At 48.8% G+C, this 19,678-nt stretch overlaps 1 protein-coding gene across 2 annotated transcripts in view, besides 2 other annotated features; it reads right to left on the bottom strand.

Annotated features, from left to right (window-relative positions):
• The window catches only part of CACNA1B (calcium voltage-gated channel subunit alpha1 B), a 246,838-nt gene that overhangs the window by 108,866 nt on the left and 118,294 nt on the right, over positions 1–19,678 (bottom strand). For both annotated transcript variants that reach the window (NM_000718.4, NM_001243812.2), the window contains exons 16-18: positions 8,870–8,987; positions 5,677–5,744; positions 2,519–2,625 (exon numbers count right to left, since the gene is read on the bottom strand). In NM_000718.4, coding sequence (NP_000709.1) covers positions 2,519–2,625; positions 5,677–5,744; positions 8,870–8,987 — 293 coding nt within the window. The remainder of the gene's footprint in view (positions 1–2,518; positions 2,626–5,676; positions 5,745–8,869; positions 8,988–19,678) is intronic.
• Positions 2,297–2,541: a recombination feature, noted in NCBI's record as "recombination_hotspot; EGL096 recombination distal breakpoint sub-region, recombines with the EGL096 recombination proximal breakpoint sub-region within the 9q34.3 QSOX2 distal recombination region, resulting in an interstitial deletion". NCBI's record gives the evidence for it as "EXISTENCE:DNA microarray evidence [ECO:0005524][PMID:21729882]".
• Positions 8,567–9,203: an enhancer, noted in NCBI's record as "H3K4me1 hESC enhancer chr9:140901003-140901639 (GRCh37/hg19 assembly coordinates)". NCBI's record gives its function as "activates a minimal SCP1, AML or CMV promoter by ChIP-STARR-seq in naive H9 embryonic stem cells {active_cell/tissue: H9 hESC(naive)}" and the evidence as "EXISTENCE:reporter gene assay evidence [ECO:0000049][PMID:30033119]".

Here is a 19,678-nt window from a genome sequence, read left to right as displayed (position 1 = left end):
TGCATGCGACACGCTAGGGTGCCCTTCTGAGGCATGTTCTGGCACCGTCTGTGTCAAGCCAAACAGAGCATCACTGAGAACCTCTCAAACACCAAGGACACCCCAAGTCCTCCCAGCACCCAGGGCACCAAGCCCGGCATTGGCCCCGCTCCGCAGGCCACGCAGCACAGCTGTTGGGGGCAGAAGGGTGAAGGGTACTCAAGGGCACTGCTCTCGCACAGCCCAGCAGCTCAAGGTGCTGGAAATGAGAGCAGGGCAGGAGGCAGCGCTGCTCGTCCCACCAGGAGAACAGGAAGCAGACGAGGACAGATGACAGACAGCTTTCAGCCCTCGGAGGTCTCAGCACAACACAGGCACGCAAACAGCAGCAGCAGGGCCAGGCCTCGCCAGGTGCAGGGCCCTCCTTGAGGGAAACCCCTCAAGGTTGATTCCTGCAGGGTCTCTTGTGGCGGAAATCAGACTGGCTGTCATGTCCAAACCAGTGGGCTGAGGACATGCCACAGAGGATGAGGGCCCACAGCTGCACCGCAGGCAGGGACCATGGGGGCTGACACCTGGACGCCTCGGGCTGGCTTGGGCCGGCTGCCCCTTGCCACGTGTGAGGGCTGCAGCCTGCTTGAGTTGAGGATGCTGGCACTGGAGCTGACACCTGGCTCCAGACCCACCGTGAGGCAGAACACCTAGGGGTCCCCCGGGAAAAAAGAAGCTCTTTCCTCGCGTAGGAATCAGCATGGTGCTCAGGCCAACAGGTGGTGTCGATGTACACTGTGCCCAAGGATGCCAGTCTACTGCCTTGTTCCTGCATAGCAGTGTCTCCAAACCAGGACAGGGCAGCAGATAAGGAAGAGTGTCCAGCCTCCTTTTCAGGCAGCCTGACTCAGGCTCCATGACTGCCAGGGACCTGGCAGCCTCTTCTGCAAGGTCTCAGGCCAGATGGGAGTGGACACCCTCCCATACCCCCAGGAGGAGGCAGGGCCGGCAGGCAGCAGGGGTCAAGGGACAAGTGCTCGCCTCCAGGAACAGCAGAGAAGGCAAGTCTTCAGGAGAACAACACGAGGCCTGCGCGAGGCCAGGAGCTGAACACACCACTCGCCCCATCTACTGCAGACCACCCACCTGCAGAGCTCACAGAGCCCTGGTAGCAAACCCCTGGACCAAGTAACCAAACTAAGTGGACTAAATAACTAATGAACCAAATAACCGAATTGGCCAAGACAATGAAAGATCGAAATTAAACAACTGAGGACTGAGCCCCCAGCAGTCTTCTGCGTGATGGCCACCGTGTCCACAGCTGCCAAGTTCCCCTGCAGGCCCCTCCCATCCCTGCCTGAGTCCCCGGCGGGCTGCAGCCTCTTCTAGCTGCTTCTGCCCCAAAGACCAGCACTTTCTGCTAGGCTTAGAGACAGGCCCTCCGCAAACACCATCTTCCTGGTGCCCTCCAGGCAGGATCAGGGCTGGTATGGGGGTGCACACACTCAGCACATGCACTCACACACATGCTCACTGTGCAACTCTCAAGTGCACACACACACACCTAGCACACTCATCCACATGCCAGCATGCTTACCCAGCAGTGCAGACACACATCACACACACATACCTAGCACACTCATCCACATGCCAACATGCTTACACAGAAGTGCAGACACACGTCACTACAGATGCACCTGTGGCTGCACCCGGCCCTGTGTTCCGTGTTCACGGCAGGGCGGGTGGCCGGCTGAAGAGCTGGGGCCCGCCCATCAGCATGGGGAATGGGAGGTGTGGGGGGTGGGCATGCAGCCAGACGGAGCTAGTGGCTCCAGAGCTAAATTCAGCTGGGCCTAGAGAACAAGCTCCCAGTAAGGGCATCTCTGCACTCTTGTGGCCCACCCTGTGACCAGGCCATGGGCCAGACTTTCCTGCCTCCCTTCCCAGGGACTGACCTCCCCACAGCTCGGCTCAGTGCAGCCTTTGGCCCTGGGCTGGACACTTTGCCCAAACTCTAAAGCCCCTAACACCTCCAAATATGGTTCTATGGAATACGCAGTTTTCGCCAGAATAACTTCCTCTAACATCTGTCCCAGTACCAAACACTTGCAGAGACATTTTTGGAAACTGCAGTAAGTCTCTCAGACTGCTCAGGTATCACCTAGAATCTCTTGGCTCATAAAATAAATTTCTGAAAAGCTGTGCATAAAAGCAACTTACTGACTCCCTCCCCCAACTGATTCACAGTTGCCTGGGGAGGGGCCTGGAGCCACCCTGAGGCTATCCAGGGAGTGAATATCACAGCAGAGACAATCCCAGCCACAATGTGAGGGCTGTGCCTGGCCACACCCTGGCCCTGCTCATACTGAGAAAAAGCCCTGGAGCCCCCAGGCTCTCATCCCAGTTCCGAGGAGGGGCTGTGTCCTCACCCGCCAAGGCCAGAGGCCCTCTGAGGAAGCCTCTGGAAGGGGTGCCCTGGGGAGGGCCCAGCCATGGGACCCTGCAGCAGCCCCACTGCCACCCCACAATCCACTCCTAGGAGCCTTACGCGGCGATGGAGATGTTCGCGGCAGACATGGGGCTGACTTCAGCCACTTCTTTGGCCTTTTGCAGAGCAAGCTTCTGATTGGCTGCTTCTTCCATCTCCTCTTCATCCTGTTTGAGCAAAGAGAAATGTCCAGTTCCCCTCACAGTGTTATAGCCACTCTAACACTGGCTATATATAACATCAGCTCTTCCTCCAGGGGCCTCAAAAAATACACAGTGCTGCTCTCTATCCAGTGGAGACAGGCAGCCAACCCCTGAGTGAATGTGGCCCCCCACGACCTGTTCCACAGGAGCTGTCTCTGGTGCTCTCCAGGGCCTTCCCTTCTGTGTCTGTGACTCAAAGGTAATGGTCACTAGGATTCCTTCCTCAGTGCCCTCTTGCTTGTGCCGTCTCCCTGGAGGCGACGGCCTCACCTCTGTGCTATCCTGACCTTACTCTGAGCTCTAACCCAGGTACCCAGCCACTGCCTGGATATTTCCATTTGTTTGTTTTGTTTTTTGTTATTTGTTTTTTTTTTTTTTAGAGACAGGGTCTCGCTCTGTCACCCAAGCTGGAGGGCAGTGGCTCAATCTCAGCTCACTGCAGCCTCGACCTCCCAGGCTTAAGTGATCCTCTAACCTCAGCCTCCCATGCAGCTGGGACTCCAAGCACGTGTCATCACGACTGGCTAAATTTTTTTAATTTAATTTTTCTTGAATTCCTAGGCTCAAGTGATCCTCCCACCTCGGCCTCCCAAAGTGCTGGGAGTACAGGTGTTAGCTACCATGCCTGGCCTTCAGCTTGTCTGTACCATGGCACCTCAAACTTGCCCACTGAAATGCAAATCTGTCCCTCCTTTTGTCCCACCTGTCCCCCCAGGAGCATCTGTCACACTTTAACAAAGCCAAGAGCAAGGGCAAGAGGCTCTGCACCTGTGGCTAAGTCCTGACCCAGCACTGCCCACAAGCACTGCCACCAGGAGGGTGTCCAGTGGGGCCACGCACCATCTTTGAGCTTTTCTGCCTGGAGCCAGCAGACCATGTCTGTCCCCATTTCCCCAGCTGTGGCTGTCAGAAGCCTCTCCCTGTCTCCCCCACTCCTGGGTGACCACTTGCAGTGCCTGGCCCTGAACTTCACATGGCTCCTGCCCTCAGGGCTGGGCATGTGCACATGTGCAGGCAGGTGCAGTTTCCTCTGCCCCCTCTGGCCCTGACCCTAAGTCACTAAACAAGACCAACATGCTCGGCACCTGGGTTCCGGATCAATAGTTCTCGGCTGAGACCACAGGCCTCAGAATGGAAGCTACGACTTCCACGTTGTCCATCTGGACTGCTGGGGCCACCACTGTTTCCTCAAAATCCTGAAGCCCAGACCCACCTGGCTCCCCTGGGAGCCAGCATTCCCAGTGTTCCCTAAAATGTCCTTGAATCTGCATTCGGGGCGCAACGCTGGCAGAAACTAAGTCCCTTGTTAGCTGCCTGCGAATTTCCCTCCACAGAGGAGAGACCTTCGAACTTCAAGCCCAGAGAGGAGGCAAAGCCAGACCCAGCGTGAAACACCCACACCCAGGTCCCTCCTCGCAGATCCGGCTGCATCCAGCTTCCCACCCTCTGGGGCAGGGACTTTGCCAGTCACTCCAGGGAGTGTTCTAAAGTCCCCTGGAAGGTCTAAAACAAATTCAAGTTTATCCTCGCTTCAAAAGGTACATAGTGCTGTAATGCTTTTGTGGGAATATTATGGGAATATAAGGGAAGGGGATGGTCGAGTCATAAACTTTGCGGCTCTTGGTCAGCCCAGAAAAATGCCCACAGCCAGACACAGACAGGCCCCCAGTGGCCCCGATCCTCAGAGAAGAAATTCCTAAATGAGGCCAGTTACACAAAAGGGGGGCCACCAATGAGGGTACATGTATGTGGACACAGGGCCCCAAGGACATGGCTTCCTCCATGCATCTTCCTTCATGACAGAACTTAAAGAGACAGTGGGGCCCCAGCGCTCCAGTGCAGCCCACCCAGGACAGCTAGGGCCCCGGGCTCCAAGGCAACCCCGGCACCAAGGAGAGCTCTGTGGGGGCTTGGGCTCCCCCAACCCAAGCGGCCCAGCTGAAGACAGGAACAGAGAGAAGCCAGAAACCAGAGCGCCAGGGAGGAATCCGGGCCCCTAGGCATAGGCATGGCCATGGCCCAGGTCTGGAGGCGTGGGAGTAAGAAGGCTGAGCAGAAGCAAAGGGAGGCTCAGGCTGCAGCTGGCACACCGCATGGACCACACCCCCCTCCTGGAGAGCTCGGCTGGGGGGAGCAGGGGCACCTGCACAGCACTCACTCTTGGAGAAGCTCTGTGGCACACCTGCATCTCTGCTGCCCATGGACAGAAATCCTGAACCTGCCTCTCTCAGCCCCGGAACAGGGAAGGCATGGAGAGACACTGGACTGGAGTGACAGAACTGTGTCAGACCCCTAGACATGCACAGGTGCATGCAGACACCTGTCCAGGGATGGTGCACAGGCAGAAGAGGGCACACAGTGACACATACATGGTGACACACAGGTACACACTGATGTGCAGAGCATGCACGTGGGACGTTTGCAGCGTGGTTCACACCAAACCAGAAGGCAGCACCACCTCTACTAGGAGCTAGGGCTTGAGTCAACACACAAGCCTGCGACTGAGATGGCAGGTGGCCACACTACAAGTGTCCAGGGCTGGGGAGAGCATGACCAGGAGGGGACTGTGTCATCCGGAGGGATATCACAGAGGGAGACATGTACAATTGCATCCCCCACCAGGCTCAGGGATGAGATGAATATTAAAATGGCACCCGCTGAGCACTGCCTGAAGCAGCAGCTGTCCCACTGTGGCACAGCTGTGCTGGGATAGGGCCACCAGCTGCTCCTCCTGCTCAGGCCCCTCCTGCTCCCAGCACACCCTGCCGTTCAGGCCATTCTTCCCTGTGCTGGCTTCCCTGAGAGCCTGCCTGTCCATCTGCCTTCGGGGCTTTGGCTCTCCCTGCATCCTCAGCTCCAGCCTCCAGCCCCTGAGTGACAGACCAGCCTCTGCCCGCCAGGACCCAAGGCAACGCTCCTGGACACGAGGCCCTAACCCAGGACCCAGACTCTTCCTGGCTGCGGCCACATTCAAGTGACATGGGCTGACACCGGTCCCTCCCTGTCGCCACCTACCTTGGTCAGCTCTTGGGCGTTGGCCAGGTTGTCCACAGCGATGGCCAGAAAGACATTCAGCAGAGTGTCTGGTTGGGTCCAGCTGAGGAAGGGAACCTCTGCCCCACATGGCCCCAGTCACACTGCAGCTTCCCCCATCTCCCCAGATCCCAACCAGCCTCCAGCCTCCTTCCCTTGGCACCTACCAGCTCCCCAAGGCCCCATCCCCAGACACACTCCAGCCCAGCCACTAGGCCCTCCAGCCCCCTGTTCCATCCTCACCTCCAGCCTCTCTGCCAATCCCTCCTTTGCTCAGCCTCCCATCACCCAGCCTCCCCTAATGCCCACCTGAGCCTCTTCCCCCAACCCAGCTCTTTCGGGCTGACTGTGCAGGAGCAAAGCTCAGAGGCTGTGCTGGAGCCATCTGCCTCTGCCTCCTAACGAGGGCCCATGGTCTGCCTGCTGTGCTCCCAACTCCCCAAGCCCCGGCCAGCACAAGAAGCCTCCCCACAAACAGCTCCTACTCCACAGGCTCCAGGTGGGGCTCCACTGCCTTCTGGGTCCTGTGAGCAGAGACCACCTCAGACAAACCACGAGCTTGCAAACCCACCTGTGGCCAGCACATGCTGGGCCCCAAGTCCTAGGCCCACAGATGCCACCTAGTGCTACCTTCCCCTCCTTTCCATTTCCTTTTCCCGCATGGTGTCCTGGGGCCTCTTCTTTGCGGCATCCGCTCCGTAGATTGCAGGACTCACGTCAGGCCGTGGAGACGGCAGATGGCATGATCTGGTTCCTGGGACTGCACCTTGCCTCAACTGACCTCCCAGGACCCAGTGTGAGGTGCTGCCCCACCTTTTAGAAATGAAGAAACCAAGGCCCAAAGGGAAGCACCTGCCACAGGTACCGGCACAGGCACCGCCTGGGGTGTGCGGCCTCCTTCTCAAAGCTCGCGGGACCAGGTCCTTGTCCCATCACGGTGTTTTTCTTTGCAAAAGGAACTCTTCACCCATCACTGGAAGCAGCCTTTTCCTGAACTCTCACCTCCCTGCCCCTGCACAGTTTCCCAGAACCACCACAAACATAGTCAGGACCCCGACTGTGACTTGGGTCTGCCCCTCCAGACCCTGGCCATTGGGGGTGCCCTCCTGGCCATTTTATCACTCCAGGTTTCTCAGCCCAGGCCCTGCTGGCATTTGGGGCTGGGCAATCCTCTATGGGACGGCAGGCAGCACCCTTGGTCTCCGTCCACTTGAGGCCATCAGCCCCTCCCCATCAGTGCTGACAACCAAAAGTGACTCAGAAGCTGCCAAATGCACCACAGCATCTGTAGGGAGAGGAAGCTGCCCCCGTTAGAACCTTGCACTCCACGTGATCCAGCCCGTTTCACCACAGGCCTGCGACTCACCCCTGCCCAGGCTACAGCCACTCTCCCTGTGGTACTGGCCTCTGCCAGGCCGAATAGCAGCTGGCTCTGTATGAGGCCAACAGCAGTGACCCTGGCAGGTCAGGTCCCTCTCTGGCTGGACAGGTGCCCCCTCCCTGGGGGTCAAGGGAGCGCATACCCCAGGCCAGAGCCTCACAGGTGAGTCCACGCAGAGCTCCAGCAGAGCCCACAGGGCAGGACACTGAGGCCAGGCTGACACCTCCAGGCACCAGCCACAGCCACTGACACCTCAGAGGCCTTTCCATGCCCAGAAAGCAGGACCAAGGGCCATGCCCCTTGGGATCCAGCAGGACTAACGCTGAGTGGACAGGGAGGGGGACGCTCGTGGCCAGCATGCCTGGCCTCAGTGTCAGGGTCAGACTCAGCTGTGGTGAACCACTGGCCACTGCTCTGTCTTGAGGCAGAGGCACCTCCTTCTGGACACCGCTGTCCTGTCTGAGGCTTCCGTCCCTCTCTGACAACCGGGGCTGCCTTTCTTTGGTGCCTCCGGTGCCAGCCCCAGGGCCACCCATCTCCAAAGCAGACACTGCCCCCTCAGGCTCTCTGGAGCCCCTCCTAGGCTCACACACACTCAACTTCCCAGGAAGGCTGGATCCCCCACTCTGGGGACCAGGCCCTGAGCTGCAGCCTAAGGACCACCCCGTGACTAACAAGACTGAGAGAGGGAGCCCCTGCTGGGCCAGCCTAGGAGAGGTGGAGCAAGGAATGAGGAGCCAGGGAGATGGAGACAGGAAAGAAGGTGAAGTCTGCAAGGGCACTGAGGGCACCGGCACCAGTGAGGCAGAGACGAGGACAGACAGACGGGGTGGAGTGGCCATCGTGTGTGAGAAGTTCGGGGTAGAAGCAGAGCCGGGAGGTCGACTGTGAGACATTGTCTCCAGCTCCTCGGGGCCCTGTGGGGTGTTCTGTCACAGCAGTTCTCAAAGTGGGGTCCCCAGAACAGAAACACGGGCTCCCCCTGCAGCCTGTGAGAATGCACATTCTCAGGCCCCAGCCCAGCCCCACTGCCTCTGACACCCTGGGCTAGGGCTGGAATCCAGGCTTACCATCCCTCAGGGGACTGTGATGCCCAGATGAGTTTGAGAACCAAAGACACTTCTAGGCCTGAACTTCCCACCCCAGCTACAGGGGGACCCACTCACACTGCCTGTCATAGCCCTCACCCTTGCCTATACCACGAATGCTGTAGTTCTCCCTCCAGATCTTCCTTGGCCACAGCCCTGTCCCTATCATGGTCCCTTGCTAGGGCAGAGCTCACCACCGGCGGCTGGGCTCGCTCTGACCCCACAGACTCACCCTCTGACTCAAGGTCCTGAAACAGCCCAACTGACATCCTCCACAGAAAACCTTTCCTTACATTTCTCTGCAAAGGGGATGGTATCAGCAGGGGGAAGGGCTCCTTTTTAAAGCCCAGTGCCAAAACCTAAGTACACAATTAAATCAAAGTGAAAACAAAAACCCACCTGCCCAGAGTGTGAGGCTCCCCGACTGCTGCTCAGAGTCTGTCCTGGGCCTGCTGCTGGCCGCACCCACCCCCACCTCTGGATACCCCCACACGCAGCAGCTCATGCTCCCTCAAGCTGAGTCCCAAAGCCTCCAGAGCCCTGCGCTCCGGCCACCTGCAGAATGTTCTCCATCTGCACTCAGCTCTGAGAATGCACCTCTCACGTCCACGGCCCCTAGTCCTCCTGGAGGGATCCGCGTGGTGGCCATGGAGAAGAGGAGGGCCAAGCACTGACCACCCTCTGCCCCAGCCCCACAGAAGGATACAGTTTCCGAACAGTGTCAGGACAATGAAGTAAAAGGACGAGAACATGCCTTTGCTGACGCCGCCTTGCGATTCGATCCCGTGATACATCACTGCATTCCAGTCCTCTCCCGTCAGGATCTGCCAGGATGGAGAGAACACAGGGCAAGCCCCCATGGCCGCCTTCCCCACACACACGCACCCCCACCCACATGAGTGCATGTGCACCGCCACGTCCACGCGCACTGCCACGTCCACACATGCACATCCAGGTCTTTAGATGATGCTGTCTCCGAAGGTCTGGGCATCCCAGGGTCCTCCAGAAAAGCTTCCAGAAGGACATGGCTGCAGAACTGGGTCTTAAAAGACTAACATACTCTAGGTTTTCAGCCAGAAATGAAAAGGGAGCTCCCAACAGGAGAAGGAGGTGGGCAGAGGCGAGGAGGGCAGCAGTGAGATCAGGCATGGAGAGACGAAACAGCGCCATCCACGTCACTGCAGTCAAGGAAGCCGAGGTTCACAGGGGACTGGGCTGCACACGGCCACCCAGCAGAAGCAGAGCCTTATGCTCTCAGTTCCTGCCACTCCACTTGGTGGGTCTAGCCTCACAGCCTGGCTAAATGCAACCCTTGTCCTAGTAGCCATGTCTCTTTTCTACTTTAATTTTTGGAAACATACAAGAAAATAAAATAATAAACACTCATGTGTCCCCCACCCAAAATGGAAATTTTGCCCCATGTGCAATGGTCCCCCTCCCCGTGACCAACTCCAACCAGGGATCTGACACAGATCCAAGTCTTTTTTCTTTTTTCACTTTCTATTTATTTGTGGGGGTTTTTAAATTTCTTTTTTTTTTTTTTTTTTTGACATGGAGTCTTACTCTGTCATCCAGGCTGGAGTGCAGTGGTGCAATCTCGGCTCACTGCAAGCTCCGTCTCCCAGGTTCACGCCATTCTCCTGCCTCAGCCTCCCAAGTAGCTGGGACTACAGGCACCCACCACCTCACCCGGCTAATTTTTTGTATTTTTAGTAGAGACGGGGTTTCACCGCATTAGCCAGGATGGTCTCCATCTCCTGACCTCGTGATCCGCCCACCTCGGCCTCCCAAAGTGCTGGGATTACAGGCGTGAGCCGCCACACCCTGCCGTTTTTTAATTCTTTTTATCGATACATAGTATTTGTACATATTTTAGGGTACTTGTGGTATTTTGATACATGCATACAATGCGCAATGATCAAATAGGGTATTCGGATATCCATCACCTCAAACATTTAGCATTGTGTTGGGAACATCTCAAACCTTTTCTTCTGATTATTTTGAAATAGACAATATATTGTTGTTAGTTATAGTCACCCTACCATGCTATCAAACACTAGGAACTCGCTCCTTCTATCTAACTGTGTTTGTACCCCTTAACCACCCTCTTTTCATCCCCTCTTCCTACAGCCTTCCCACCTTCTGGTAGCCATCATTCTAACCTCTACCTCCAGATCAGCTTTTTTGCTCTCACATCTGAGTGAGAACATGTGAAGTTTCTCTTTCTGTGCCTGGCTTATTTCACTTAACTTAATGACATCCACTTCCATCCATGTTGCTGCAAATGACAGGATTTCATTCTTTTTGTGGCTGAATAGTGTTCTGTTATATATACACCATATTTTCTGTATCCTTTCATCCGTTGACAAGCACTTAGGCTGATCCCTTATCTTTGCTACTGTGAATAGTGCTGCCATGAGCATGAGGAGGCAGGCAGCACTTCATGTTCCAACTTCCTTTCCTTTGGATAAACACCCAGCAGTGGGATTTTTGTGGTATGGCTCCTCTTAAGGAGCCTCCATACTGTTTCCCAGAGTGGCTGGACTAATTTACATTCCCATCAACAGTGTGAGAGAGTTCCCTTCTCTCTATATCCTTGCCAGCATTTGTTAATTTTGTCTTTGATAATAGCCATCCCAAATGGGTGAGACGATACCTCACTGTGGTTTGGATTTGTCTTCGCCTGATGATTAGTGATGTTGAGTATTTTTTCATACATCTGTTGGCCATTTGTATGTCTTCTTTTGAGAAATGTCTATTCAGAGCCTTTGCCCACTTTTAAATGTGATTATTTGTTTTTTTTGCTGTTGAGTTGTTTGAGTTCCTTGTATATTGTGGATAGTAGTCCCTTGTTGGATGAATGGATCCAAGTCTTTAGGGTTCCACTACACATCACACACATACACGTATGTATAAACAGAATACTGCATACGTGCTAAACATGCACAGGAAGGTACCAGACTACACATCATTCTTCAACTTGCTGTTTTCATTCAACAATACAGCTTTGAGGTTTCTCCATTTTTTTTTTTTTTTTTTTTGAGACAGGGTCTTGTTCTGTTTCCCAGGCCGGAGTGCAGTGGTGTGATCTTGGCCCACTGCAACTTCTGCTTTCTGGGCCCAATCAATCCTCACACCTCAGCCTCCTGAGTAACTGGGTCCACAGGCAGGTGCCACCATGCCCAGCTAATTTTTTGTATTTTTTAGTAGAGATGGGGTTTTGCCATGTTGCCCAGGCTGGTCTTGAACCCCTGGGCTCAAGCAATCAGCCCCCCCTCAGCCTCCTGCAGTGCTGAGATTACCAGGGTGAGCCACTGCACCCGGCTCTCCATGTTGATACATATAAATCTACTTATTTGTGTAAACCATCACACAGTTTTCCTTCCATTTACCTATTTTCCTTCTCACAGGTACTTTTAGTGGCTTCCGGGTTTTTGCTGCCGTGTCCCCTTGTGCACATGTGAAGTTTCTCCAGAACTGCAGCTGCCAGGTATGTAGGCTATGCACACCTTCGCCGACTTCACTAGATGTTTCCAAAATGGTTATCCCAAATCATATTCCCGCCAGCAGCAGAGGATGGTTCTTCATCACATCCTCACACCACCCATGGCACTGTCACGCCCTTTGACAGTTCCCAATCTGATAAACGTGAAAGGGCTTAAAAGCACTGGCCAGGCGTGGTGGCTCACGTCTGTAGTCCTAGCGCTTTGGGAGGCCAAGGTGGGAGGATCACTTGACCCCAGGAGTTCGACACCAGCCTGGGCGACATAGTGGGACCCCATTTCTACAAAAAAAAAAAAAAAAAAAAAAAAGGCAAGCCCGTGAGTTTGATCATTTCTCCTGCCCAGGGGCCCTTAGATCTCTTCTGTGCCCTGCCTTTCAACCCCCCAGCTCCTATTTCTGATGACTCATCTTTTTCTTACTGACTTTTGAGACTTGCTTATGTATTCTTGTATATACTAATACTCTATTTGCATTATCTATTGTAAATATCTTTAGTCTCCTGTTTGCTTTTATTTTTGTATTAAAAAAGTTTAATGTAATTAAATATCAGTCTTATCAGTCTATTCCTTTATGTTTTCTGCTTTTTGCATCTTAAGAAATTCCTCTCCATCCAAGGTCATAAAGATATTTTCACTACAAACACACACGGCCAGGAGTGGTGGCTCACACCTGTAATCCCAACACTTTGGAGATAGAGACCAGCCTGGGCAACATAGTGAGACCCTGTCTACAAAAAAATTTTTTTAATGAGCTAGGTGTGGTAGTGCGCACCTGTAGTCCCAGCTACTCAGAAGGCTGAGGCAGGAGGATCACTTGAGCCAGTTGTGTGAGCTATGATCATGCCACTGTACTCCAGCCTTGGCAATAGAGCAAGACCCCATCTCCATTTAAAAAAAAAAGAAATTTGGAGATGGGGTCTTGCTCTATTGCCAAGGCTGGAGTGCAGTGGCACAATCGCAAGACCCCATCTCCATTAAAAAAAAGAAATTTGGGCCAGGCACAGTGGCTCACGTTTGTAATCCCAGCACTTTGGAGGCCAAGGTGGACGGATCACAAGGTCAGGAGTTCAAGACCAGCCTGGCCAACACAGTGAAACCCTGTCTACTAAAAATACAAAAATTAGCTGGGCATGGTGGCAGGTGCCTGTAATCCCAGCTATTCGGGAGGCTGAGGCAGAAAAATCGCTTGAACCCGGGAGGCGGAGGTTACAGTGAACCAAGATCACACCACTGCACTCCAGCCTGGGCAACAGAGCTAGATTCCATTTCAAAAAAGAAAAGAAAAGAAAAGAAAAAAGAAAAGAAAAGAAAAGAGAAGAAATTTCTCTCCATCCAAGATCATAAAGATATTTTCATAATATATATTTTTTTCTTTCTTTTCTTCTAAAGACTGGGTCTTGCTCTGTTGCCCAGGCCGCAGTGGCACGATCCTAGCTCATTATAACCTCAAACTCCTGGCCTCAAGTAATTCTCCTGTCTCAGTCTCCCACGTAGCTGGGACTGCAGAGGTGCACCATCAGCTATTTTTTTTTTTTTTTTTTTTGGATATGGGCTTTCATTATGTTGCCCAGGCTGACCTTGAACTTAAGAGCCTCAAGCGATACTCCCACCTCAGCCTCCCAAAGCACTGGGATTATAGGCATGAGCCACCATGCCTGGCCTCTTACTCTTTAAATCATCTTTAAATCATTTTCAAGTTTGATTTTTTACATTTAGGTTTCTAATCCAACTGAAGTTTTGTGCATGCATGGAGATGATGATCCAATTTTTTTCATACGGAAAGCCAATTTTCCCAGACCCAAATTTTTGAATAGTCCATCCTTCCTCCATTGATTTCCAATGACATCTTTCTCATATAACCAACTTTCTATATATGTTTGGAATGTTTCCAGGTTCTCTGGTCTGTTCTTTTGATATTTCATTTTTACATATACCACACTATTTTCATTACCATAGCTTTATAAAAAGTCATGATATATGGTAGGACAAATTTCTTCTTCCTGAATTGTCTTTTCTTGGACTTTTACTCTTCCATATAATCAATATGCTGAATTCCAAGAACAGTCCCATTGGAATTTGGATCAGGATTGCGTTGATTCATAAATTAAATTGGGGAGAACTGACACCTTCACCATTTTAAGGCTTCCTACTTATAAACATCTCTCTGCACACATACAGCTCCTTAAGGCCTTGAATGACATTTCATAATTACTGCAACAAAAGTCTTGCACAATTTTAGTTAGATTTATTTCTGGGTACCTGGAAGTTTTGTTACTACTGTGAATGAGACCTTTCTTTTAAATTGAATTTTCTAATTGAATAATGTTATTTATTATATAGAAAAGCTATATTTTTGTACATTTATCCTATGTTCAGCAATACTGATGAATTTTCTTATTATATCTAATATATTATCTAGGATTTTCTATAGTAAATAATCACATTTGCAAATAATAATAGTTTTTTTCTATTCCTTTTCAGTCTTTTTACTTCTTTCTTTTTTCTTACGACATTAGCTTCGACTGCTTGAATAGTAGGCATCCTTATTTTCCTTTTAACAATACTTCTAATCTTTTACTATTATCTATGATCCTTGCTATGGTCTCTTTTAAATAACAGCATTATTGGGATATAATTCGCCCATTTAAAGTGTATACAATAGTTTTTAGTATACTCACAAATATGTGTCACCATTATCACAGTCCATTTTAGAACATTTTCATCCCTTCAAAAAAAGAAACTCATACCCATTAGCTATCACCCATCCTGGTTGTAGGGTTTTTGTAGATACTCTTTACCAGATTTTTTTAAACTCCTGTCAATTCTTAGTATGACTTTTTTTTATCATGAATTAAAGTTTATTTTTATCAATGTTTCACTTTTCTGCATCTATGACACATGTTCTCTTTTAACCTGTAGAGATTAGGAATTATACTGACAATTTCCTGTATTATTTGTATTTCTTGTATTACTAGAATGAACACAGTTTAGCTATTAGGTTCTTTTTTAATATATGCAGCTGATTTGATTTTTTAATAGATTTTAGATTATTTGCAGACATTTGTGATGCAGATAAAAAAACACCAAAATAACAAGACTGTAAAAAGCATATTTTTAAGGAGACACATGAAGTAGATAATTGTATAGCAAGACTGACCAAGGGAAAAAAAGCACAAATAAAAATTGTAACACGAAAGGGGGGTCATAACATAGGAAAAAGAGATTTTTTTAATTACAGAAGAATATTATGGAAGCTTTATGCCATGAGATTTGAATGAATCTACTTTCACTGGGGAGACATTAGCGTACCTGCCGTGTTGGGCGATATTCAGGTGCTTAGGATGGTCAGTGGATAAAACAAAGACCCTGCCCCATGGAGCTTGCGTTCTGGTCTGCATTTTGTCTTAAATTGTCCTTGCATGGCTTTGGTGTCAAGGTTGTACTAGCCTCATGAAATGATTTCATCCCTTCTCTGAAATTGTTTGAGTCAAATAGTTATTATTTCTTCTTGAAAGGCTTGGTGAAACTCGCCTTATAATGACTGGGCCCCAGGCAGGAGGCAGAAAGATAGGAAGAGAACTTTGACTGTCTGTTAAATTTCTTTTATAATTATGAAATGTCCAGGTTTTCAAAATTTCTTCTTGAGCTAATTTAATCCACTTAATGTCTTCCTATAAAAATGCATGTTTTGGCCAGGCACGGTGGCTCATGTCTGTAATCCCAGCACTTTGGGAGGCCAAGGCGGGCTGATCACGAGGTCAGGAGATCGAGACCATCCTGGCTAACACGGTGAAACCCTGTCTCTACTAAAAATACAAAAAATTAGCCGGGCGTAGTGGCGGGCGCCTGTAGTCCCAGCCACTCGGGAGGCTGAGGCAGGAGAATGGCGTGAACCCGGGAGGCGGAGCTTGCAGTGAGCCGAGATCGCACCACTGCACTCCAGCCTGGGCGACAGAGCGAGACTCCATCTCAAAAAAAAAAAAAAAGCATGTTTCATCTACGCTTTCCAATCTCATGGCATAAAGTTGCCAAAGTATTCTTTTGGAATTAAAAAAAAATCTCATTTTCCTATAGTTACGACTCCCTTTTGGGTTACATTTTTTGTTTGTGCTTTTTTCCCTTGATCAGTCGCTGTACAATTATCTACTTCATGAACATGCTTGTTATCTTGGTGTTTCAGTGATCTGTACAACAAATGTCTACTCTTAGCATCATCTGCTTTCAATTTTTCTTTGGTTTATTATTCCTTCTTCTAGATTTTTCATATAAGTACTTGTTAAGCCAGGCTCTGTGGCTCATGCCTGCATTACCAGCACTTTGGGAGGCTGAGGTGGGAGGATCGCTTGAGCCCACTGAGTTTGAGACCAGCCTGGGCAACATTGTGAGACCACGTCTCTACAAAAAATAGAAATTAGCTGGGCATGGTGGTGTGTGCCTATGGCCCCAGCTACTTGGGAGACTGAGGTGGGAGGACCACTTGAACCCAGTTCGAGGCTGCAGTGAGCTATGATTACACTAATGCACTCCAGCCTGGGTGACAGGGCAAGACACTTTTTTTTTTAAGAGTACTTGTTTATTTTTTATCCTTTTTTTTTTCTGATAACTGCATTAAGATTATAAGTTTTTCTTTAAGTGTTGTTTCGGATTCCTCTTACAAGTGTTGATACTGTTCAGTTCTAAATATTCTGTAATGGCCATCGTGATTTCTGATTTCCTCTTTACTCCCAAATCCTTCAACTTACAAATATGGGAAAGATATTAAATGACTTTTCATTAACGGTGCCTGCTTATCTAAATGATATCAAAGTTGTGCTCTGCAGGACAGCAATATTCATTTTTTATTTTTTATTTTTTTTAGTTGGAGTCTCACTCTGTCACCCAAGCTGGAGTACAGTAGCACCCACCACCACACCTGGCTAAATTTTGTATTTTCAGTAGATACGGGGTCTCGCCATTTTGGTTTCACCACGCCAGGCTGGTCTTGAATTCCTGACCTCAGGTGATCTGCCCACTTCGGCCTCCCAAAGCGCTGGGATTACAGGAGTGAGGAACTGTGCCCAGCTGGACAGTAATTAATACTTGTTGAAGTTTCCTGAGTGACCTAATAAATGGTCAAAGTCTGCAAATGTTCCAAGTGCCCCAAATAATGAATATTCTATTCACTATCTGTTGGGTACAGTTCTGTATGTGACAACTGGTTCATGTTTTTAGATCCTTTCTAATCTTTTGTCAGTTTCATCCTGCAGTTTGACAGAGACATGTTATAAATCTCTTATAAGATGGTAAAGTTTTTATTTCTCCTTGTAATTCTGCCTGTTTTTGGTCAATGTTCTGAGGCCAGGTTGTTAGGTCCTGCAAGTTCATGCCCTGCAGTGTTTTCCTTCTGGAGGCGTCCTCTTTTCATCATGTAATATGCCTCTTTATTCTCATCCGTCCTCTTTTTACCTTCACCTCTATTTTGGCTGATATTAATACATGAGCTTTCTTTTGTTTTGTTTTGTTTTTTGAGACGGAGTCTCGCTCTGTCGCCCAGGCTGGAGTGCAGTGGCGTGATCTCAGCTCACTGCAACCTCTGCCTCCCAGGTTCAGGCGATTCTCCCACCTCAGCACCAGCACACCCAGCTAATTTTACGTATTTTTAGTAAAGATGGGGTTTCACCATGTAGGCCAGCTGGTCTCGAACGCCTGACCTCAAGTGATCTGCCCACCTCGGCCTCCCAAAGTGCTGGGATTACAGGCATGAGCCACCGTGCCCGGCCTACACTGGCTTTCTTTTGGTCAATGTTTAGTTAGTTCATCTTTTCGTATCCCTTTATTTTTCAATTACACAATATTTTAAACACTCCGAAAGATGCAATGAATAATTTAACAAACCTCTGTGTACCCACTACCCAGCTTAAGAAATAAAACATCAGAATGTGGCCAGAACTCCCCAGTCTCATTCCTCTCCCTCTCCCCACCTCCCAGCAACCCCCACCCCACCACCAGGAAAACTGTGTCCTGAATTTGGTGCTAATCATTCCTGTGCAAGCTTTTATACGTTTACTACATCCATATCATAAACAGTATATGACATTGTTTTGCACATTGTTCATCCTTAAATAGTATCATACGCTATAAATACATTTAGTTCTAAGGCACTCATTTTCCCTTCTGCACAAACAGATCACACTTCTCTTATCCATTTCCCTGATGGTGAACATGCAGGTGATTTTCAGTTTTTTGTTATTACAAATAATGCTGCTAGGATGGCTTTACATGTTTCCTTGTGCACTTGGGCAAAAAACTATACCTGGCAGGAACTGCTCGTGCCAATTCCAGTGGATGGGATATAATGAATTACCCTTCAGAGTGGTTCTACCAACCCACCAACAGCATAAAGAAACACTAATTTCTCCACTTCTTCTCTAAATCTTAATATTGTTAGATCTCTTAATTTTGGCTAAACTGACAGGTGGAAATGGTTGTTTCATTGAGGGTTTAATTTGCATTTCCCTGACTGCAGTAAAATTGATCATAGTTTCTTCTCCTGTGAGTTACTTGTTTTTATCCTTTGTCCTTTCATACTACATCATTTGTCTTTTAATTTATCTAGAATTGATTTTCACACTTGGTACAAGGTAGGAATCCAATTTCATGTTTTTCTATGTAAATACTATCTGCATGACAGGACTTGAGTTTTCTGTGTATAAATATTTCATCTGTAAATAATGACAGTTTTCTTTCTTGTCAATCCCGACAATTTTTATTTCATTTTTTCTTGTTCTACTGTGCTAAGACCCCTGATACTACTGTAATCTGCTAAGCATTTTTATTTGGAAGGAGTGTTAGGTCTTACTTAAAAAAAAATTATCACGGACATTTGAAGCATACACAGAGTGGAGTACAATGAGCCCTACATGCCCATCCAGTTTCAGCCATCGGCAACTCTGCAATCTTATCTCCGCTCCTCTCACCTCTGGCTGACTGTGCTTGTGCTACAGTTCCAGTGCTTTCTCTGATCATACAGGGTTTGTATCCACCTTAATCTGTTAGTGTGACAAATTACATTCATAGGTTTTCTAATGTTGAATTATCTTGCATTTCTAGGAAAAGTTCTAGTCAATTATAAAAATAATTTTTAAGAATATCTAGATTTGATTAATGATGGTTTCCCCCAGATGCTTTGCTTCTGTGTTTGCAGAAGTGATCTGTATTTGCAGAAGTGATCTGTATTTTTCTTTTCTGATAGTGTCCTTGTTTAGTTTTTTTCATTATCAAGGCTACTCTAGTTTCATACAATGAGTGGCGAGCTATCCTTTTTTATATTCTGCGGAGGAGTCTGTATAAAATTGGAATAATTTCTTAAATAGCAGAATTCACATATCATACTATCTGAACTTGGTAACTTGAGCAGGAGATTTTTAATTATTAAATTTTTTAAAATTTATTTTTTATTTCGATAGATTTTGGGAGAACAGGTGGTGTTTGCTTATATGACTAAGTTCTTTAGTGATTATCTCTGAGATTTTGGTGCACCCATCACCCAAGCAGCATACGCTGTAGTTTTTTATTCCTCGTCCCCCTCCCACCCTTTCCCTCGAGTCCCTAAAGTCCATTGTATCATTCTTATGCCTTTGCATCCTCATAACTCAGCTCCCACTTATGAGTGAGAACACACAATGTTTGGGTTTCCATTCCTGACTTACTTCACTTACAATAGTAGCCTCCGATTCCATCCACGTTGTTGCAAATGCCATTATTTCACTCTTTTTAGGGCTGAGTAGTATTCTATAGTATACTGGTATACACTACGTTTTCTTCATCCACTCGTTGACCAATAGGCATCTGGGTTGGTTCCATATTTTTGCAATTCCAAATTGTGCTGCTATAAACATGCATGTGCAAGTATCCTTTTTCATATAATGACTTCTTTTCCTCTGAGTAGATATCTAGAAGTGGGATTGCTGATCAAATGGTGGTAGATATACTTTTAGTTCTTTAAGGAAACTCCACAATGTTTTCCATAGTGG

This window comes from Homo sapiens, chromosome 9 (assembly GCF_000001405.40).
Source record: "Homo sapiens chromosome 9, GRCh38.p14 Primary Assembly".
Taxonomy (NCBI): Eukaryota; Metazoa; Chordata; class Mammalia; order Primates; family Hominidae; genus Homo; species Homo sapiens.
The sequence above is the reverse complement of the archived record's forward strand: the minus strand, read 5'-3'. Positions and strand labels throughout refer to the sequence as shown.